This window comes from Homo sapiens, chromosome 9 (assembly GCF_000001405.40).
Source record: "Homo sapiens chromosome 9, GRCh38.p14 Primary Assembly".
In the NCBI taxonomy this organism is placed as follows: domain Eukaryota; kingdom Metazoa; phylum Chordata; class Mammalia; order Primates; family Hominidae; genus Homo; species Homo sapiens.
This window is the reverse complement of record NC_000009.12, coordinates 76,842,720-76,864,141: the sequence shown is the minus strand read 5'-3', so window position 1 is coordinate 76,864,141 and position 21,422 is coordinate 76,842,720. Positions and strand designations below refer to the sequence as shown.

The 21,422-nt window shown below is 40.1% G+C and overlaps 1 protein-coding gene across 34 annotated transcripts in view; it reads left to right on the top strand.

Annotated features, from left to right (window-relative positions):
- Nucleotides 1-21,422, top strand: part of PRUNE2 (prune homolog 2 with BCH domain) — a 294,739-nt gene that overhangs the window by 41,973 nt on the left and 231,344 nt on the right. For 33 of the 34 annotated variants that reach the window (XM_047422884.1, XM_017014349.2, NM_015225.3 and 30 more), the window contains 3 exons: nt 9,934-10,038; nt 13,477-13,679; nt 17,464-17,627. In XM_047422884.1, the coding sequence (XP_047278840.1) occupies nt 9,934-10,038; nt 13,477-13,679; nt 17,464-17,627 (472 nt within the window). The remainder of the gene's footprint in view (nt 1-9,933; nt 10,039-13,476; nt 13,680-17,463; nt 17,628-21,422) is intronic. The other variant, NR_131751.2, reaches the window with a different exon arrangement.

The window sequence follows — 21,422 nt, the reverse complement described above, 5'->3', positions numbered from 1 at the left end:
CTGCAAAGGACTTGATTTTGTTCTGTTTTATGTCTGTGTAGCATTCCATGGTGTGTTTGTACCATATTTTCTTTATCCAATCCACGTTTGATGGGCACCTAGATTGATTCCATGCCTTTGCTGTTGGGAATAGCGCTGTGATTAACATATAAGTGCATGTGTCTTTGTGGTAGAATGATTTCTTTTCTTTTGGGTGTATATCTAGTAATGGGATTGTTGGTTGAATGGTAGTTCTGTTTAAAGTTCTTTGAGAAATCTCCAAGCTGCTTTCCGCAGTGGCTGAACTAATTTACATTCCCACCAACAGTGACAGTTTAGATTTAATTTTAAGTTGCATTATCATTTTGACATGAGGCAAAGCAGAGGAGCAAATGCAGTCCAGTCAAGAGCTAGGGAACCTAGGCTGCTCTTAGCTCAGTCTGAAGTGTATTGTTGCAACATTTTCAGGAAGCAAAGTAGGTAGATTGGGGAAAATATTGTACAGAGTGTGCTGCTGTTGTTTAGTACTCAAATGATAATGTCATATTAAATAATGCATGCTTATTGCATACTTAATGCAACTTTATTGAACAAGTTGTTCCATAATGCCCAAGGCCAGAAAACAAAATAGTTTTTTATTGATGTTACCAGAGTTGAATATGTTAACAATATTTTAGCAGTTTAATCATCAATGAGAATAGGATAAACATCCTGAAAGATACACAGAGAAAAATTCACAAATAATATGTTTATATGAAGACAGTAATGTTTTTGTGTCCATATATAAAAGTGATCTAAAGCACTCATAATCATAATAAACATGCATTATACAACATTACCGATCAACATGATAATGTTCAAATACACAAGGTTTGAAAACTAGGTATTTTTATGGATGGGAAGGTAAATTTCTATAACTTTCTGGTGAACATTAAAATATATTCTTTGACCCAGAAATTTAAGATCCAGGAATTTATCCTGAAGAGATAACTAGGGATAGATACAAAAATTATCTTCTGAAGTATTCACTGCAGTTTTATTTATACCACAAAAAATAAATAATTATAAATTTAATCTCTAACAATAGAGGATTGACTAAAGTATGAAGATCCGTATTAAGAAATACTATATCTGTTAAATGTTATCATCATTCACTCATTCATACATTCACTTTTTCAATAGTTATTGAACACTTACTGTGTGCAAAGCAGTAGGCTGGCAGCTGGAGTTACAAAAGCAAACAGAAGTCATCTATGGCCACAACAAGATTTAATTTTAGAAGTTGAAAAGAATGCTTAGAGGGCTGTTAATTTTGAAAAGAGAAGTTAAAAAATATTATGTGTAATAGGGTCACACTATTGCAAAAGAGAACACTCATAGAAGTACAGAGAGAAGATGAGAAGGAATACATTTAATATAGTAATTAACTGGGAATTAGGTTTTTTTTTGTGAGTTTCTACAAATGTTTTATAATGAACATATTTTATGAAGTCATTAAGATATAAACCTTAGGTGACGTGAGTGTAGGGTGCTATGTGTGTGTAGCGGGGGCATTCTTTCTCATTTGGGCTTTAAAACTCTTGGACTGCCTTTGATGTTTATCATTTAGTAGAAGAAGCTCTTCTAGCTTTTCCTAAGGCTCAGTTGTTTCTTAGATGGTTTTGCATGACTCCAACCTGGAGGCCTGAGCACAGTAAAAGGACACAGGACGCCACAAGGTCAGAGGATACAAGGAAAGGATTTGTGACCTAGACATATGTTCATAGGAGGCTAAATGAAAAAGACTGCAGCTCTCTCTTTTTTCTTTTTTCTGCCTCCTGGGTTCAAGCGATTCTCCTGTCTCAGCCTCCCAAGTAGCTGGGATTACAGGCATGTGCCAACCATGCCTGGCTAATTTTGTATTTTTAGTAGAGATGGGGTTTCACCATGTTGGTCAGGCTGGTCTCGAACTCCTGACCTCAGGTGATCTGCCTGCCTCGGCCTCCCAAAGTGCCGGGATTACAGGCGTGAGCCACCGTGCCTGGCCAAGACTGCAGTTCTTGAGGCTGAAAAAGGAAAGGTGAAGAGATTATAAAGATCTGTGAAACCATGGAGGTCAAACTCCTAGAATAGGGCACCTGTTTCAGCTAGAAGGAACCAGTGGGTAATAAAAGCATGCATCTCCCCACAACAGTGGGATGACTGGAAAATGAAAACATCTCAGGAGGCTATGCAGGACAATTCCCTTAGGAGCCCTTCAGGGAAGTTAAAGATTTGCGGGGCTCATCCCTAACTTTTTGTGATGGAAGAAAAATAATGGTGCTGCTTCCAAAACTGTCCTTTGAAGCCATCGTCAGAGCGAGGATCCTGAACAAAAATACAAAAAAAAAAAAAAAATGCTGTAAATAAAATAATACTTCTTGGCCACATCGTTTTTATGATCCAGAAGATATAAACTATATCCAGAAGTATATAAATGATATTTGAGGTCACTCGATTTGAGAAAACTTTGTTTTCAAGATGGGCAGCAAACAGGCTAAGGAAGAATGGATTAAGCTGAGAAGTTAAAAAAGTGGATTAGTTGATGTCCAGTGCTCCAGGCTTCAAGAAGCCTGACCGGGGGGAACTGAGGCTTTGGGTTTAGGTTTTGCCTCCCCCATCGCCTACCCACAATGGCCTCTTACATATGAGAACACAGAAGAAGGCCCAAATGCACACGGCCTGAACAGTTTATAGCTGAATTTGTTCACACTGATGCCTGTCTCCTCTCTTTCTCGAATAACAGATTTTAAATTTCTCATAATTACATCATTACCTGGAGAACATTTGAGACCCGGAGGGAGAGAATGGTGTTGGAAACAAAGAACAAAGAGAAATTCAGGAGGAGGTCAGGAGTTCTCAAAATCATCTCAAACCCAGGGCCAGTATCAAGAGGCATCTCGTTTATTTACCAAACCAGCAAAGAATGTGACTTTATCCCTGCACAGCAGAGCTGCAGAGGGGGTGTTTGCCTCGCCTCTGGACATCTCCAGGCCTCCCTGTGGCCCCTGCTGCTCACTTGGCCATGGTACCATCTGCTGCCCCTCCCACCTGGCTTCCTTGGAGGCTGTGACTGGGTTTGAGTTAGGGACCTGTAGGGTTGTGAGCAGCACGTTAGGTCTCCTCCTTCCCATCCTTGGAAGTCTTCTTACTTAGAATCGTGGCAGCCACAGGTGTTTGGGGTCTCCTGGGGAGGGGCTGGGCCCTTTCCGCATCACCCTGCAGCCAGTCTTCTGGGAGGAAGACACCCTGGTTGACTTGGAGCTAGTAAGTAGTCAAGGGACTCACTGGTTCAAAGGCCACCTTCTTTCTGGTTTTCTTTGGAGACACCATCCTACAGTTTCAGGAGGTTTATTTCTCTCTTGTTTCTTCATTTTTTTGGTTAGAAATGAGGGACCAAGAAATGTGCCCCCACTTTAGTGTGTGTGGAAAGTGAATCTCCAACTTCTGTGGGTTTTGTCTGAAATATTTTTAAAACAAAATTCGTTTCAATTAATTATTTTTGAAAAAAGTGTTCCAAAAATTTTCAGAAAAAAGATTTGGGGATATTTGAGCATGAGTATTGAAAAGTCATCTTATAACTGTATTGCAAGGGCTCCTTGTGAAACCACCGTTGCAGAAATGATAACAGTAACGGAAATCTGCCAACTGACTCCATCTTGCTTCTACCAGGCTGAACTGCTTTTGCTCATACTTGTTTTAAGGCAGTAAGTCATTTCCTTGAACTAATCCCCTCCTTGTTAAAAAATGGAAACTGTACTTGTAAATACTAACAAAAATTCACAAGGTTAGAGTTACGGGAAGGGCTTGAACTTTGCTAAGGAATAGACATACTGCTGTTGTTTTCGTATTAATTGCTTACTGCCTCAGCAATTAAGGGAGTCACAAGATCGATAACTTCCCCAACTACTCCTACAGATAACATCACTATTGTAAAACCTAAGTAACTGGTCTTTGAGATATGTTTCAGATTTGGCATTTTGGCAGGCTGAGAAACACCCCCTGGTCCTGAGACTCCCTCCCGGAAACTGACTCAGCTATGCAAAGACAGTTTAGACACCCCTGTGAGTTCATCCCCAGCCAATCAATTGTTTCAGCTTTCCAGCCCCTGCCCACTAAAGTACCCTGAAAAACCCTGGCTTCAGGCCGGGCGTGGTGGCTCATGCTTGTAATCCCAGTACTTTGGGAGGCCTAGGCAGGTGGATTGCCTGAGGTAAGGAGTTTGAGACCAGCCTGGCCAACATGGTGAAACCCCATCTCTACTAAAAAGAAAAATTAGCTGGGCATGGTGGCGGGCACTTGTAATCCCAGCTACTTGGGAAACTGAGGCAGGAGAATTGCTTGAACCCGGGAGGTTGCAGTGAGCCGAAATCATGCCATTGCACTCCAGCCTAGGCAACAAGAGTGAAACTCTGTCTCAAAACAAACAAACAAACAAACAAACAAACAAACAAACAAGCACCCTAGCCTCTGAATTCTTGGGGAAGCAGATTTGAGAACTACCTCCTGACCTCCCACTTGGCTGGCCCTGTGATGATTAAACTCTTTCATGGCTGATATATTTGCTATTCTCGGTGCATTGGTTTTTCTGGGCAGTGGGCAAGAAGAATCCATAGGATTGGGACATTTTATTAAAAGGTTTATGGCAGCAGCAACCTTGCTTCTAAGCCTGTGGAGGAAGGAAAGAGCAAATGGAGGGGCCTAGGCTTATAGGAGGGCCCAGGAAGCCCTCTTTCTGGTCAATTCTTCTGGGTGGCTTGAAAGTGCTTTTGCCTAACAAGTGCAGCTTCATTTAATGGGCCATTGAATCTGAATATGTAGGCATTTTGTAGGCTTTTAAAAAGAGATAAGAAGTTAAGAAGTCTCATTTTAGCGGTATATAGGATTACACTTTGAAAGCATATTAAAGTGATTTGGAATCCTGGCATAGTCAATATACTTTCTTTTTTACATTGATTATGAAAAGATTCTGTCCATCTATTTTGGAAGTGTATCTAGATGACAAAGCAGTGTAGTATCTCTTTCAATCCATTATCATATTCCATTTTGTATTGGGTTTGGGGAGCACTGGGTTTAGGCATTCGCAAAGGGTTGCCTGTCTTTTGAGATTCCTTGATGCTTGGTGTGCTTGTGTAGGTTGATATTAGGGAATGGATATTTACTCAGCAGACTGGGTCCCTCCAACCTAGGAGTTTACAGAGTCACATTTGGAAAATGTATACATTAGGCAATAATTATTTGCTGAACATGCTGGGCCTGCTCTCACCTCAGGGCCTTGGTACCTGTTCTTTCCTTAGCCTGAGACACCCTTTAGTCCCACTTACCTAACCTACAGACCTTTACTCAAATGCCACTTTCTTTTTTTTTCTTTCTTTTTTTTTTTTTTAATTATACCTTAAGTTCTGGGATACATGTGCAGAACATGCAGGTTTGTTACATAGGTATACACGTGCCATGGTGGTTTGCTGCATCCATCAACCTGTCATCTACATTAGGTATTTCTCCTAATGCTATCCCTTCCCTTGCTTTCGACCCCTTGACAGGCCCCAGTGTGTGATGTTGCCCTCCCTGTGTCTATGTGTTCTCATTGCTCAACTCCCACTTATGAGTGAGAACATGCAGTGTCTGGTTTTCTGTTCCTGTATTAGTTTGCTGAGAATGATGGTTTCCAGCTTCATCCATGTCCCTGCAAAGAACATGAACTCATCCTTTTTTATGGCTGCATAGTATTCCATGGTGTATATGTGCCACATTTTCTTTACCCAGTTGATCATTGATGGGCATCAAATGCCACTTTCTAATGAACCTCACCTCAGCATATCCCATCCCCGTTTTATGATTTCATCTTCTCCATTTAAATTATCTGATTATTTGGTTCATCAGTTCACCATGCACTAAATTGCAAGTGCAGTGAGGGATGGGATTTTTGTCCATTTGGTTTATTGCTATATCCTTAGAGCCTAGAACAGTGCCTGGCACAAGCAGATTTTTATTGTTGGGGTGACAATAGTAAATCAAATTGATGAAACTGTACATTTATCATTATTATTGTCCCTTTTATTTGGGCATGATTTGTCTGTTTGTGAATCATCCATAGCACAATTTGAACTGTATCAAGGGACATCAGTATTAAGATTGGGCACCTGAGAGTCTCTGAATATGTGGATATGTGAGATAGGAAGGGGCCTACAGACCTTCAGTGAGCAGTGCAGACGATCTTTGGGGTCAGGAGTCTCTTTTGGGTTCCGTGAACTAGTTGCAGCCCCTATAGATGGGCCCATTCCCTCAGGGTGCACCAGAACCGTGGGGACCTCCCATTACCTGCCCCAGACACCTGAAATCAGTCCTCAGAATTTTCTGCCTTGGCTTGACCCCTGTGTTTGCTCTGTTTGCACAACCAAGGTCATTTGTGGGGGGAAGCTCAAGAGTGGGCCCTGTATTCTCTGGTTCTTAATTCCAATTTGAAGAGATTGAGCTCACGTACAGGGTGAGTCTACATGACTAATTTTATGTTTTATTCCTCCAAGCAGGCAGGAGTTTGAGCATGGTTACCCTTTGCTGCCCTGCAATTCTATCTTATCAGTGGTTACTGGTAGGAATTGGGCACTTAGGAACATCTGAGATATTCTGAGGCCAAGCCTATCTCTTTCAGGGCTTACTGGTGGCACAAAAGGTACCTTCTGGTTGGGCTGTCCCTTTCTGTCTGGTCCACCATTCTAAGCTGGGTCATCTTTTTTTTTTCCAGTCATCTTTTTGGATTATGGCATGATTTCTGGAGGGTCTCTTTACAATGAGAGCATATTACATTGGTGACACGTTAACTCAGGAGTACTCATTGGCATATATTCTTCATTGGAGTTGCTGGTGGAGGAGCAGTGGGTCCTTGAGAGCCTGGGCACCAAGATGGTACATTTTGATGGATGGGGGTGGAGGGGGAAAGAGAGTGCTGAAGCCTGGAAACTGTATATGCGCTGGGGATGGCAAATATGGGTAAATGGCATTGGAAGAGGCCATGACCATGAAGGAACTTGATGCATAGGATGAAGGAAAGTGAGGAGAGAAATGAGAGACCATGAAAAAAGAGACATGTTGGCCAGGCGCGGTGGCTCACGCCTGTAATCCCAGTACTTTGGGAGGCAAAGGCGGGTGGATTACCTGAGGTCAGGAGTTTGAGACCAGCCTGGCCAACATGGTGAAACTCCGTCTCTACTAAAAATACAAAAATTAGCTGGATGTGGTAGCGGGCACCTGTAATCCCAGCTACTCAGAAGGCTGAGGAAGGAGAATCGCTTGAACCTGGGAGGCGGAGGTTGCAGTGAGCCAAGATCACGCCATTACACTCCAGCCTGGGTGACAGAGCGAGACTCCATCTTGGAAAAAAAAAAAGAAAAAGAAAAGAGAGGCATATGACACCAAGGAGAACCCTCAAAATTTTGCAGTGGGGTATGCTATGGTCCTTACCCGTTATACCTTTTTCTCTTTAAATGGAAAGAGATATGTCAGCAAGGAAAGATTAATTCATTTACATTCAATCCATGTAAATTAACCTTATAATTATCTTACAGGGTTCCTGAGTTGTGAGAGTTCGTGTAGCATGCTTTGGGGTTGCAGTCTTCATTTAGCACCTTTTCTTCCTTAAGTATAATTGGTTTTGGGCTTGGTAATGAATCGGCACACAAATCTTGCTACACTCCCCATGTCTTCTTTCCTGTAAGTTGAGGGTGGAACACAAAGCTATGTCAGGGAATGATCAAGCCTAGACAAGAAGCAAATAGGTCAGCTTTGGGGGTAATTTTGATCTCACAAATGTCTGAAGTCTTGCTGTATTTCATTCTCTCTTCTCCCTGAATTCCGTGCTCACTTGTGTGGACGCTGAGATCCTCATAGTGTTGAGAAGTCATTATGGCATTAATACAGGGCAGAGGAGATGGGGCTCACTGCACTGTGCTGTGGGATTCTGGGAACCACCCTGGTCCATCACAGACTCCTCTGACCTATAAAAAGTGCTGCTAATCTTCTTACTGTCTGCCTTATAAGATTTGGGAAGAGAAATGAGGTAATGTCTACTTAGATCTTTGAGCTTCTCGGAAGAATAGCATTCTGCAGTAATATGATTTCCTAATGTGTTTGTTTGTGTTGTAATAGACTGTAATTCCATTTACCTACCTTTCTTTAGGAGCTTCTAGAATATTTGACTGTGTTGCACAGGGGAAGCAGTCTGACATTGAGAGTGAGAACTGGACCTAGACTAGAACCCTTAAAGCACATTTAGCCAAGTGAGCCAACTATAAATTTATGAGTGTAGGGGAAGGAAACTGGGAGAGGAAGAAATGGAAGCTAGATTTGGTAGTGACAAGGGAGGGGATTGTAATTATCTTCAGAGAGTTTATATCATACTTTTAAATCATGCTGTTTTGCCAAGGATCAATATCTCAATTTTGAAAAAAAATTTATTTTAATTTAGCAATGTTACATATTGGATTATATCTGCAAAATTGATACTGCTTTCATTGTCTATAATGATAGACTAACCTAGCCCCCTCCAAGATTTGGTTTGTTATATTTATTGAGCCACAACCTATTGCGTTTGACTCTGATACCAGCAGTTCCATATAAACACTGACAAATTTTTAGATTCATTTGTAAAATATGTAGTAGATAACTAAATAATACTTCATCTTTGTTCTGCATATAAACACTTTTTTTTTTAATTAAAATAGTCATGAGCAATCTAACCTTTTATATAGCCTTTGGAACAGTATTACAACTAAGTTGGCTTTCTAGGTAGTTCTAAAATGAGAAGTTAAAACAAGTGATGAAAAGTGGGGAAAGTATGTACATATGTCATCTCTGACATACCGTAAAGTTGTTAATTTATATGACAATTATCTGTATTGGATAGTTTTGCTATGACATTTACTAGAAGCAGTTGGTTCTTTGGAAGTTGCAAAAGAATGTCAGCCTTCCACAAAGGAATTTTCAAATAACTATTTAGTTAACCAGAAAATGAAATAGCAAGTCTTCTCTTCCAGAGGGGTGACTATATATATATATATATATATTTTTTTTTTTTTTTTTTTGAGATGGAGTCTTGCTCTGTGGCCAGGCTGGAGTGCAGTGGTGCAATCTCGGCTCACTGCAACCTCCGCCTCCTGGGTTTAAGTGATTCCTCTACCTCAGCCTCCTGAATAGCTGGAACTACAGGCACGTGCCACCACACCTGGCTAATTTTTTTTTATTTTTTAGTAGACATGGGGTTTCACCATATTGGCCAAGATGATCTCGATCTCCTGACCTCATGATCCACCTGCCTCAGCCTCCTAAAGTGCTGGGATTACAGGCGTGAGCCACCACGCCCGGCTGACTATATACACCTTTTAAGAACAATTAATTTTTATTTTCTGACAGACAAAAGTGTTACAAGTTTCATTTACTAAATTATAGAATAGAATACAGAGAGAACCTATCTTGTTACCCAAAATGTGACATAAAAAAATAAATCCTTACCAAACTCTGTGTCTGTTTGCTTATGTTGCATGCCAGACACATATGAAAAAAGTCATTTTGTTTGTTTCTTAAATTAAGAACATCTTATATAAAGAAATGATATAGAATACTATGCCCCTTAGAACAAAATGATACTTACTAAAAAAATTACGACTCAGAGATACAGTTCATATGAAGTTAAATTATGTGTAATCTTAATAAAACCACATTTTCTCTTCCAGAAAGTTTACTAGAGTTTGAGTGAATATTTCAGAGTGTTAAACACTTTGTACAATTTTTATGTTCTCATGTAAAACTTCATGATAAATTTATGATTCTCTGCCATTGTGTATCAATATGGATAAGGCATACTTTTTTAAAATATTAAAAATATGTTTATATTAATCTGTCACCTGTTAAATTGTGATGTTTCCTTTGAATTTGTTTCAGAATCGAAGCAAACGCTTGGAGAAGGTCCATGTGGTTATTGGGCCTAAATCGTGTGACTTGGATTCTCTCATTTCTACCTTCACATATGCTTACTTTCTAGACAAGGTGAGGGAAAAAAGGGTAATACTCCTTATATTTTGAATTATTATGTAACTTTTAAGAATAAACATTTTCTCTAAACAAAGGAACCTATTAACTTAATTTTTAATGTTCTGATATATTGTTGCAGAGTATAAAGTATTATCATCCATGAATCAACAAATATTTATTGGGCACCTACTATATGTTAGGCATTGTTCTAGCTATTTCTTACCAACTCTCCTTATAAAACATTATTTCAATAAGGTCAATGTTTTCAAATAAAACATTTAAAGTGTTCATAATAGTTGATTAATTTTATGGAAATTCATAGAACTAATAAAAGTAAGAATCAGATTTCTTGTTTTCCTTTGTCATCCTTGCTGATAGTCCTGCCCTTGGGAGCAGAAAAATACGTGCAGAATAACTTGTGTGAACAGTACATAAATGGCAGAGCACATTGGCTAGAGTTTTCAGTGACGAGTATTACATGTCAAATCTACATCCTGTAGGTCCTTGTTTGGTTTTGCCTTGTATCCCTGATTTTGTACAGCGAGATCATCCTTAGTTAGTGATCATCTCCCTTGAGGAAGACTCTTTCTATTCTGTGAAGCATATGATGCCCCTGTGGAAGTGGAAAATACCTTTCAACAAATTGCTTTAAAACTTGAAATCTATAAAATTCATGAGCTCATGATAATGGGCTTTTTATTAACGTAAAGCCTAAAAATGTATGTTATGAGTGTCTAGGTGTTATTTTCAATGTCACACAATTTTTAATTTTTCAGAATCTGATTTGTTTTGTTGCAATTTTGTTTGGATCCTTGGCCCCTGACAGTAGGCAGAGCTGGTCTAAAGTGATTTAAATTCACACGAATGCTAGTCTTCCAGAATGAGCTGTGGGTGGCAAGAACTGCTCTAGGGCAGAAGCTGATAAAAATGCTGGGTAAAATATTCTGATCTCTACATGTGGGCTTTATATCAAATTTATCTTAAAATTTGTTGAACTTTACAAGGGAGATTAATTGGTATGAGGAGATAAATGTGCCTCTGTTAAGACATGCATATTAACACTAATTTTGTTAACTGGTATTTTGACTCCTAGAAGAAAATGTCACTTATCTAGAGAACATAGAGTTGACAAAACCAGACTGATGTTTAGAGTGATAGTGGCGTGGACTTCAAAATGATATAACAATAATACCACCACTACCACCTACAACAATGTCTTGACATCCAATAAAAGGGGTAGAAAAAGTAATTGTGATAGATAAAACACATGGATAGATAGATAGATAGATAGATAGATAGATAGATAGATAGACAGACAGACAGATGGCTAGATAAAAATAAAAAGACATGTGGATTCTCTTCTTCTTCAAAGGTTTGCCAGTAAGCATGGAGATGAATGTGGAATTACTGAAAGGTCTCATACTAAGAATTTGGTTATATTTCTCTGCCTTTCTCGTAGTTTACTGGGCCCCCTGCTAGTGGTCTGTGTCTCCATTTAAATTTTCAAAACCCAACTACTCCCTCTCAGAGTATGAACATGTAGGATAAGCAAAGAGCTTTTCTGCCTCATGCGTGTGACCCCATTTAAATCCTTCTCACTCTGGTAAGTGAGCCGCATTTTCAGATGGGGAACACAGAGTCTCAGAGAGGAAACTGGCTTTCTCAAAGTTACGTGGTAGAGACTGGGGCTGGAACCTAGTTCTTGTGACATCAACTTCAGAACAGGTCCTGCCAGGAGAGGCCCAGGCCACATGCCTGATTTACATATTGATTCTTCCCCACTCAAGTTTCAATATCAGGAGTTAGATAGAACCCTCCATTCATTAGGAAAAATAACTTGCCATACATAAGTTGTTAACACTTATTATGCAATTGTGGTTCGGTATTAGCGTGACAGGAGGGAGAAAACCCACTTTGTTGGAGTGGCTTTGTGCTTTGTATGCTATAGCAGTGGCTGATTCCTTTCTTTCATTCAACAAATATGTACTAAATGTTTACTATGTGCCAGACTGGTTTATACACTGGAAACATAACTGAACAAAACCATCAAAAAGCCCTGCCTTCTTAATGCTAGAAAGGGGAGACAGATGATTAAGGTGTTAAAACTGTGACAAGCTGGTGATGGTGTGAGAGTAAAGGCCATTTATGTTATGCACAAATTCCATGTCACTGAACCCCACATTCTCTCATTGATAGTTAGGATTATTGCTGTACATTCACAGTAATTTTTAAAGCACCTTTATTTTTAACATTCCCGTACAAAAACAAGTTTATTATTGTGACTACAATTCTCTACCTCTCTCCTATCTCCTGTTTTCTCTGGTTGCCACAGATCTGTTTTCTAAGAGACTTGTTAATAAAAAATGTTTTTTATGATTTAAGAAATCAATAGAGATCACGATCTGATAGTCTGTAGGCTGAAGCTGGCTTGTAAATGAATTTCTACTGACTGACGTTCTGAATTTTTAAAAATGAATTGTAATAATTAAATTTCACAAATAATACCCCAAATCTAGATTTATAGCTGCTCTTGGGTAATTAAAAGTGTGTGTGTGTGTTTTTTTTTTTTCCGAGACAGAGTCTTGCTCTGTCCCCCATGCTGCAGTGCAGTGGCACGATCTTGGCTCACTGCAAGCTCCGCCTCCCGGGTTCACACCATTCTCCTGCCTCAGCCTCCCAAGTAGCTGGGACTACAGATACCTGCCACCATGCCCGGCTAATTTTTTTGTATTTTTAGTAGAGATGGGGTTTCACCGTGTTAGCCAGGATGGTCTCGATCTCCTGACCTCGTGATCTGCCCGCCTTGGCCTCCCAAAGTGCTGGGATTACGGGCATGAACCATCGCACCCAGCCCGTTAATTTAAAGTTTTAACTACACTGGGCCTGAATTTTTACATGTGAACCATTGGCTGGAGCTGAGTGACAGGCATCTCATTTAGATGCAATGTATGTGCCTTCCCCTGTCCCCACAGTCCCCACCCACCCTGCCTCAATTGTCCTAATTTTCTGCCAATCTTATAAAGATATGTGAGTTTGTTACTCTTAAAGAAGAGAATGTGTATTATATATAAATGTATTTATTTACATTTTAGCCCCTGCACAATTTATATATATGCATATATTTAAATTTATATACAAATGTTATCTATTTAAATTTTAATCATATGTAGTATATATTTATATATACAAATGGTGCAGGGTCTAAAATGAGACATAAAATAAAGCATGAGATGTTTCAAGTAGGGTAACAAGAGGTTAAAAAATGTTAGGGGCCACTCAGAGGAAAATACTCTATTAATTGGGTTCAGGAAAATTTGATTATGAATGCCAAGTGGTTTAGTGAGGCCAGAAGACTCCTATTCCTTTTACCAGTTACCCCCAGGCTGGAGAAAATGTAATTGTATTCTTTCCTCCTGCTATTTTCAGTAATTCAGTCAACTTTTTTCTTGGTAGGTCAGTCCACCAGGGGTTCTGTGTTTACCAGTGCTGAACATACCAAGAACTGAATTCAACTACTTCACCGAGACGAGGTTTATTTTAGAAGAGCTAAATATTTCCGAATCATTCCACATATTCCGGGATGAAATTAACCTGCATCAGCTAAATGATGAAGGGAAGTTATCGATAACACTTGTTGGCAGCAGTGTGCTGGCGAGGTAAGATCCACTGTGAAGCTCTGAGGTTTAATCCCTCAATGAAGGTTCTACTGGGCAAAGTGTCACTTTACTCAGGACTTTTGTGGTTTAGGCAGATGTATTAAAAGCAGAGGACATGCTGGTCATGGTGGCTCACGCCTATAATCCCAGCACTTTGGGAGGCCAAGGTGGGCGGATCACTTGAGGCCAGGAGTTCGAGACCAGCCTGACCAACATGGTGAAACCTTGTCTCTACTAAAAATACGAAAATGAGCTAGGGTGGTGGTGCATGCCTGTAATCCCAGCTACTTGGAGGCTGAGGCACGAGAATTGCCTGAACCCGGGAGGCAGAGGTTATAGTGAGCCGAGATCGCACCACTGCACTCCAGCCTGGATGAAAGAGTGAGACTGTTTCAAAAAAAACAACAAACAAACCCCAAAATCCCAAAACAACAACAACAACACAACAACGGCAAGGCAGAGGACATGCAGAGAAAAGGGAATATCTTTTTCTTCTCTTATGGCAAAATTTGGGTCATGCTAATCCTTCATTTTTACTTTTGCATTTCAGATATGAAATCTTTAAGTGTAAAGTTCTTATAAAATTGACCAAATTATAGGGGGTTTTTTGTTTTGTTTTGTTTTGTTTTGTTTTTTTGAGACAGAGTCTCGATCTCTCGCCCAGGCTGGCGTGCATTGGCTCCATCTCGGCTCACTGCAGCCTCCACCTCCCAGGTTCAAGCGATTCTCTTGCCTCAGCCTCCTGAGTAGCTAGGATTACAGGCACTCACCACCACGCCTGGCTGATTTTTGTAGTTTTAGTAGAGATGGGGTTTCACCATGTTGGCCAGGCTGGTCTTGAACTCCTGACCTCAAGTGATCCGTCCACCTCAGCCTCCCAAAGTGCTGGGATTACAGGTGTGAGCCATCACACCTGGCCTAAAATTATAGTTTTTGAACCATTTCAAACACTTTCTTATAGCAATACAATAGTCTTATGTATTGATGCCAAACATGTGTATTAAAAATTGAAATTAAACACTGGATAAAACTGAATGGTTCTTAGGAAAGAAATCTCAGTAGTGAAATGGAAAAATACATAGAGATGGGCTATGAAGGTCATTTGATTATTGATTTATTCATTCATAGCATGTTATACTACAAGAGAAGGATTGATTTTTTTTGAATATTCATGTAGCTCAAACTTTTTATTTTACGGACAAGAAACTTGAAACTCAGTGTCACAAACGACTTGTCCAAAGAACCACATGCAGGCTTGACATGGTGGCTCATGCCTGTAATTCCAGCATTTTGGGAGGCCAAGGCAGGAGGTTCACTTGAGCCCAGGAGTTTGAGATCAGCCTGGGAAACATGGTGAGACCCTGTCTCCACAAAAAATACAAAGAAATTAGCTGGCCATAGTGGTATGTACCTGTGGTCCCAGCTACTCAGGAGGCTGAGGTGAAAGGATCAATTGAGCCTGGGAGGTTGAGGCTGCAATGTCATCTCATGGTTGAGCTGTGATTACACCACTGCCCTCCAGCCTAGATGACAGAGCGAGACCCTGCCTCAAAAAACAAAACAGAACAAACAACAACAATAAAAACAAAGAACCATATGTAGTTAGTAGAAGAGTGGGGATTAGAACTTGTATCTTCTGACTCTTTCAATAAATACTTAAGCATTGCTAACTCATGCAAGAATCTACAGGTGCCTAAGGAGGAATAAGACAAATTCTCTGCCATCAAAGACTTTATGAAGATGTCCTTTTGATAAGCTTTCCACTGCTACTGAATGAAGGTTCACCAGCTAAGCACTTCAGTAGTTTAAAATGTTAGTTTTTCACAGTTTGGCAATTTGCAAGTTGTTGATAACCTTAACCAGTGGACACTGACCTTAGCATACATGAAATAAAACCTTTTCTGTTTAATAATTTTGTATTTAACTTTTTAGGAAGCATATTTAGGTATGAATGTATTGTGATATCTATTATGCAATTCATTTACTTATGAGGAGTTTTGAAAATAACCTGCCCATGTGTGGCTGCTTTTATCTTCATGCTGTTTGAAACAAATGAAATTTTTTTGAATAATATTTATCAATCATTGACACGTGGCTAAAAGTTCCGGGTAGTTTATTTGACTGACTTCAATTATTGGTATTCAGGAAATCATATGCTTGACTAAATTTACATGTTAACTATTTCTTTTTTCTTTTTTTGAGATGGATTCTTGCTCTGTCACCCAGGCTGGAGTGCAGTGGCACGATCTCAGCTCACTGCAGCCTCCATCTCCGAGGTTCAGGCGATTCTCTTGCCTCGGCCTCCTGAGTAGCTAGGATTACAGGCATCTGCCACCACACCCAGCTAATTTTTGTATTTTTAGTAGAGACGGGGTTTCACCGTGTTGGCCAGGCTGGTTTCAAACTCCTGACCTCAGGTGACCCGCCTGCCTCAGCCTCCCAAAGTGCTGGGATTACAGGCGTGAGCCACCATGCCCAGCCATATTAACTTTTTGAAACCAGCAAATACAAAGAGACACAGATAAATACAATCAATTGGAATGTGAATTGTGGAACGAGTGTGTGTCAATCAAAATCTGAGGAATAGTTTTGTTACCAATTAAAATGGAAAAATTTAGACTGATTTTGAGGCTGGGATTGTGAACTCTAGCTCTAGAATTGTTTATGAAATAGAATGCTTTTCAAAAATAAATAGAAATCTTTATTTCTTTCATTGCCATTCACTTATTTTTTGACAGGCAGAAAGAATAAAGTTGGATTGATCCAAACTTTTCTTCCTGCCTTTGCTAAAAGCCAGCTCTGTCTCATGTATGAAGAATAATGGTGGAAGGAAAATAGGCCCAGTAGTGTTTTCTCTACACCACGGTGACTGGATTTGCAAGCTTTGGAGCCAGGTTATTGGCTAGTCTACTCACTAGTCTACCAGCTAGTCTACTCACTAAATGTGTGACGTTGCACAAATTTCTTAACCTCTTTGTGCCTCAGTTTTTTTTTTAAATACTTTTTAAAAGTATTATACAATGTATAAATTGTATTAAAAAAAACTTATACAATGGGGATTTTTCTAGTGTCATTTTCTAGTGTCATTTTTAGTGCATTTTATACATTTTATAGAACTCTTTTTTTTTTTTTTCCCTGAGACAGATTCTCGCTCTATTGCCCAGGCTGGAGTGCAGTGGCACGGTCTTGGCTCACTGCAACCTCAGCCTCCATGGTTCAAGTGATTCTCCTGCCTCAGCCTCCCAGGTAGCTGGGATTACAGGCAGCTGCCACCACGTCAGGCTAATTTTTTGTATTTTTAGTAGAGACGAGGTTTCACCATGTTGGCCAGGCTGGTCGTAAACTCCTGACCTCATGATTCGCCTGCTTCGGCCTCCCAAAGTGCTGAGATTACAGTTGTGAGCCACCGCGCCCAGCCTGTAGAATTCATTTTATAGTGTTATTTTCTAGTATAAAATATGATAATACACCTAAAGTATTTATAATAGTATCCGGCCTGTGGTGGAAGCCCAATAGTGTTAGTTACTATTATTTTCCAAGAGCACAGCACAGGATAAAGCTGGGAAGGTATGTACGTATTTTAAGAATTTGGGGAAAGTAAATAGTTTTAATGAAATGTGAAAATACGTAGAATAAGGCTCCCGTCTTCTGAGTCATGTGAGTTCCCTCATATTTTTGGTCATTGAGAGGAAGCCATTTGTGTGAGAGCAGAGATTTAAACATTCCAAAAAGTAATAAGACATGCCATATCCCTTTCTCTTCCTCCCCTCCATTTGCTTTACAGTGAAGACAAAACTTTAGAATCAGCAGTTGTCAAAGTCATTAATCCGGTTGAGCAGAGCGATGCCAACGTTGAGTTCCGAGAGTCTTCCTCTTCTCTCGTGCTAAAGGAGATTCTCCAAGAGGCTCCTGAGCTCATCACCGAGCAACTGGCTCATCGCCTCAGAGGTGAGAGATGGCTCTTCCTATTAAATACTGGAAGGCTTAATGGAGTGTCTCCCAGCCTGCTCATGTAGAAAGAATGCGATCCATTCTTGGGTTAACAATCTCTTTAAAGACCACGGGAAGCTTCATCAGAGAGGCAGGGAGTAAAGAGTTTGTTAAAGAGTAGCATTATACTGAATATTAAAAATGTGCATTTAAAAATAGGCATGAGGGGCCTTTGCTGTTTCACTAGACAAGAATATTAAATGGAACTGCTGCACCTCTGTTAGGGAGCTGGAATAGCACCTCTGGCAATTTTAATCACTACCAGAGGTGATTCTTGCCCCAAGACAGCATGATAGGGACGAGAATGCCAAGTTCCCAGGTTGAAATATCTGCTGATACTCTTCCATGCTTGGTTTATACCATACTGTTTGGATGGCAAAATACGTACCCTTCATTTTGGTGATACTGTGTCAGGGCTTTTATAGTCAGATGTCACCTCCTTTGCTCCCCTGTCTTGTAACATATTCTGTCTTCACTCAAACTGTTTCAAGCCCTGGGGTCCTGAACACACCATCATCAGTTACTCTAGTAATCTCTCTTTCATCTCGATCAGTGGAGCCACCTGCTTCCAAAGAGTGGTTTTCAAGCTAGAAATTGTCAGTCGACTTTGGAACCACAAAATTACCACAGAAATTCCATTATTGACTTACAGAGGACACTGTTCTGGTTTTTGTATAAAGCATTTCCCTCCCCGCACCACCAATCCATTTTGAACACGGTAGACAGAGAATTTTCTCAAAAGTATTTAACACAGGAAAGTGAAAAACAGTGATGAACAGATTGAAATAATTCTAAAAGAAGACCAAAAGTATGTTGACTCAACTCTTTTAAGGACTCTGTCCTTCAATTCCTCTGTCTCTTCCACAGTTTGGAGGGGAAAAGGTCCAAGAAGTGTATAATTCTTGTAAAGGTTTAGAACTGATGGCCTTCGTAAACCTGCCTTAAATATTTTCCTGGCAATGAATGTCGGTAAAAACGCTCTATGGGAAACTGTGCCCTCAACTAAACTAAGTAAGCACAACCATTTATCTTTGTGACAGAGCAGAAGGAAAATGAAGGTAATTGGGGATCTCAGCCAAGAGGAAAGTTGTTCAACAGCACAAATGTGTGGTGCAGCCAAGCACTAGAGAATATTTTGTTTAAATATCTTGTAAACTAAGAAGTTTGGTTAATTGTTGTGAAAATACATGCGTTATTTAGTAGAAAAGAAATGTAGTCAGTAAGCAGCTCATTATCATAATTTTCTACAAATAGTAAAATAATATGAAACAAATACATTGGCACAAAGATATGACTGTTATTGGTAGTGATAACAATGATATTCAGATTTAGGGAATTAGAAGGAATGCAGACCCTTTTGTTAATTATCTTGGTTTTAGTTTGCAGAGCTACCAAAAAATGAACAATGGTAAAAGATTTTGCTTCTTTCTCTTTAAATTTTTTTGCTTTTTTTTTTTTTTTTTTTTTTTTTTAAGAGAGGGGGGTCTCACCATATTGCCCAGGCTAGTCTTGAACTCCTGGGCTCAAGCCATCCACCGGCTTCAGTCTCCCAAAGTGCTGTAATTAAAGGTGCGAGCTACTGCACCTGGCTGGATTTTGCTTTTCTTAACATCAGATGTTTTTCTTGAGGTTAGGCTTGAAGTGGCATTGGGAAGCTGGCAGAATGTGGGCATCACTTCCTTATCTCTTGGAAACTGGAATGTGAGAGGATGAAGAGCTTCTACCTGTGAAGCCTGCCAATACTGTTACTGTCATAAAAGAGCCAGAGTCATTAAACCCTGGGAGGTAGAAGACATAGGGGGCTTCTTATGGTGGAAAGAGGGCTCTGGAGACCTTTTGCCAATGCATATGTGTGTGTATGTATGTGGAGGGGAGATGGAACACTCTCTAAATAGCTTTGGCAAGAAGGACTATATTAGTCTGTTTTGTGTTGCTGTAAAGGAATATCTGAGATCGGGTAATTTAGAAAGAGGTTTATTTCACTCATGCTTCTGTAGGCTGTAGGAAAAGCATAGTGCTGGCATCTGCTTCTAGTGAGGACCTCAGGAAACTTCCATGCATGGCAGGAAGCAAAGGAGGAGCTGGCATATGACATGGGAAGGGAGGGAGCAAGAGACTGGGGAGGTCCCAGACCTTTTTTAACAACCAGATCTCAGGTGAACTCATTACTACAGGGAGGGTACCAAGCCATTCATGAGGGATTGGCCCCCCTGACTCAAACACCTCTCACCAGGCCCCACCTCCAACATTGGAGATCACATTTCAACATGAGATTTGGAGGGGACACACATCCAAACCATATCACGGAACTAAAGGATGGTTAAATAGGGAATCTGCCTTTTAAAGAGGTACCTCAAATGTTCAGAGGTAAAAACTATGTTGGAGTAATAGGTCAATTTTTAAAAGCTCCTGAATTGTTAGTAAATACAAAAAAGAAATCAAGTAGGCTGGGCGTGGTGGCTCACGCCTGTAATCCTAGCACTTTGGGAGGCTGAGGAGGGCAGATCACTTAAGGTCAGGAGTTTGAGACCAGCCTGGCCAACATGGTGAAACCTCGTCTCTACTAAAAATACAAAAATTAGCCGGTGTGGTGGCGGACGCCTGTAATCCCAGCTACTTGGGAGGCTGAGGCGGGAGAATTGCTTGAACCCAGGAAGCGAAGGTTGCAGTGAGCCGAGATCTCACCATTGCACTCCAGCCTGAGGCACAAGGGTGAAACTCCATCTCAAAAAAAAAAAAAAAAAAAAGAGGAATCAAGTCAAATTTTGCTGTCATCACTGAATTCAAACTTAGAATTTATGGTTTTCCAGTTATGTAGTAACATCAAACCTAAAAGGACTTGTTTTCTCTGTTCCTATAAAATAACTTTAGCATTATTTTCATAATATGGGCAGTTCTCTTTAGAAAGGGTTCTCTTTATAAGCAGCTACCATGTTACTTTGGATTTTTGGGTGCTGTAAATAATCATCACTTTGATGCACATTTTTAGAACTTTTTTAAAATTATACCTTAAGTTCTGGGATACATGTGCAGAACATGCAGGTTTGTTACATAGGTATACACGTGCCATGGTGGTTTGCTGCACCCATCAATCCATCACCTACATTAGGTATTTCTCCTAATGCTCTCCCTCCCCTAGCCCCCATCCCCAACAGGCCCCGGTGTGTGATATTCCCCACCCTGTGTCCATGTGTTCTCATTGTTCAGCTCCCACTTATGAGTGAGAACATGTGGTGTTTGGTTTTCTGTTCCCGTGTTAGTTTGCTGAGAAATGGTGGTTTCCAGCCTCATCAGTGTCCCTGCAAAGGACATGAGCTCATCCTTTATTTTTTTGGCTGCATAGTATTCCATGGTGTATATGTGCCACATTTTCTTTATCCAGTCTATCATTGATGGGCATTTGGGTTGGTTCCAAGTCTTTGTGAATAGTGCGGCAATAAGTGTATGTGTGCATGTGTCTTTATGATAGAATGATTTATAATCCTTTGGGTATATATCCAGTAATGGGATTGCTGGATCAAATGGTATTTCTTGTTCTAGATCCCTGAGGAATCGCCACACTGTCTTCCACAATGCTGGAACTAATTTACACTCCCACCAACAGTGTAAAAGTGTTCCTATTTCTCCACATCCCCTCCAGCATCTGTTGTTACCTGGCTTTTTAATGATTGCCATTCTAACTGGCATGAGATGATATCTCATTGTGGTTTTGATTTGCATTTCTCTAATGATGAGTGATGATGAGCTTTTTTT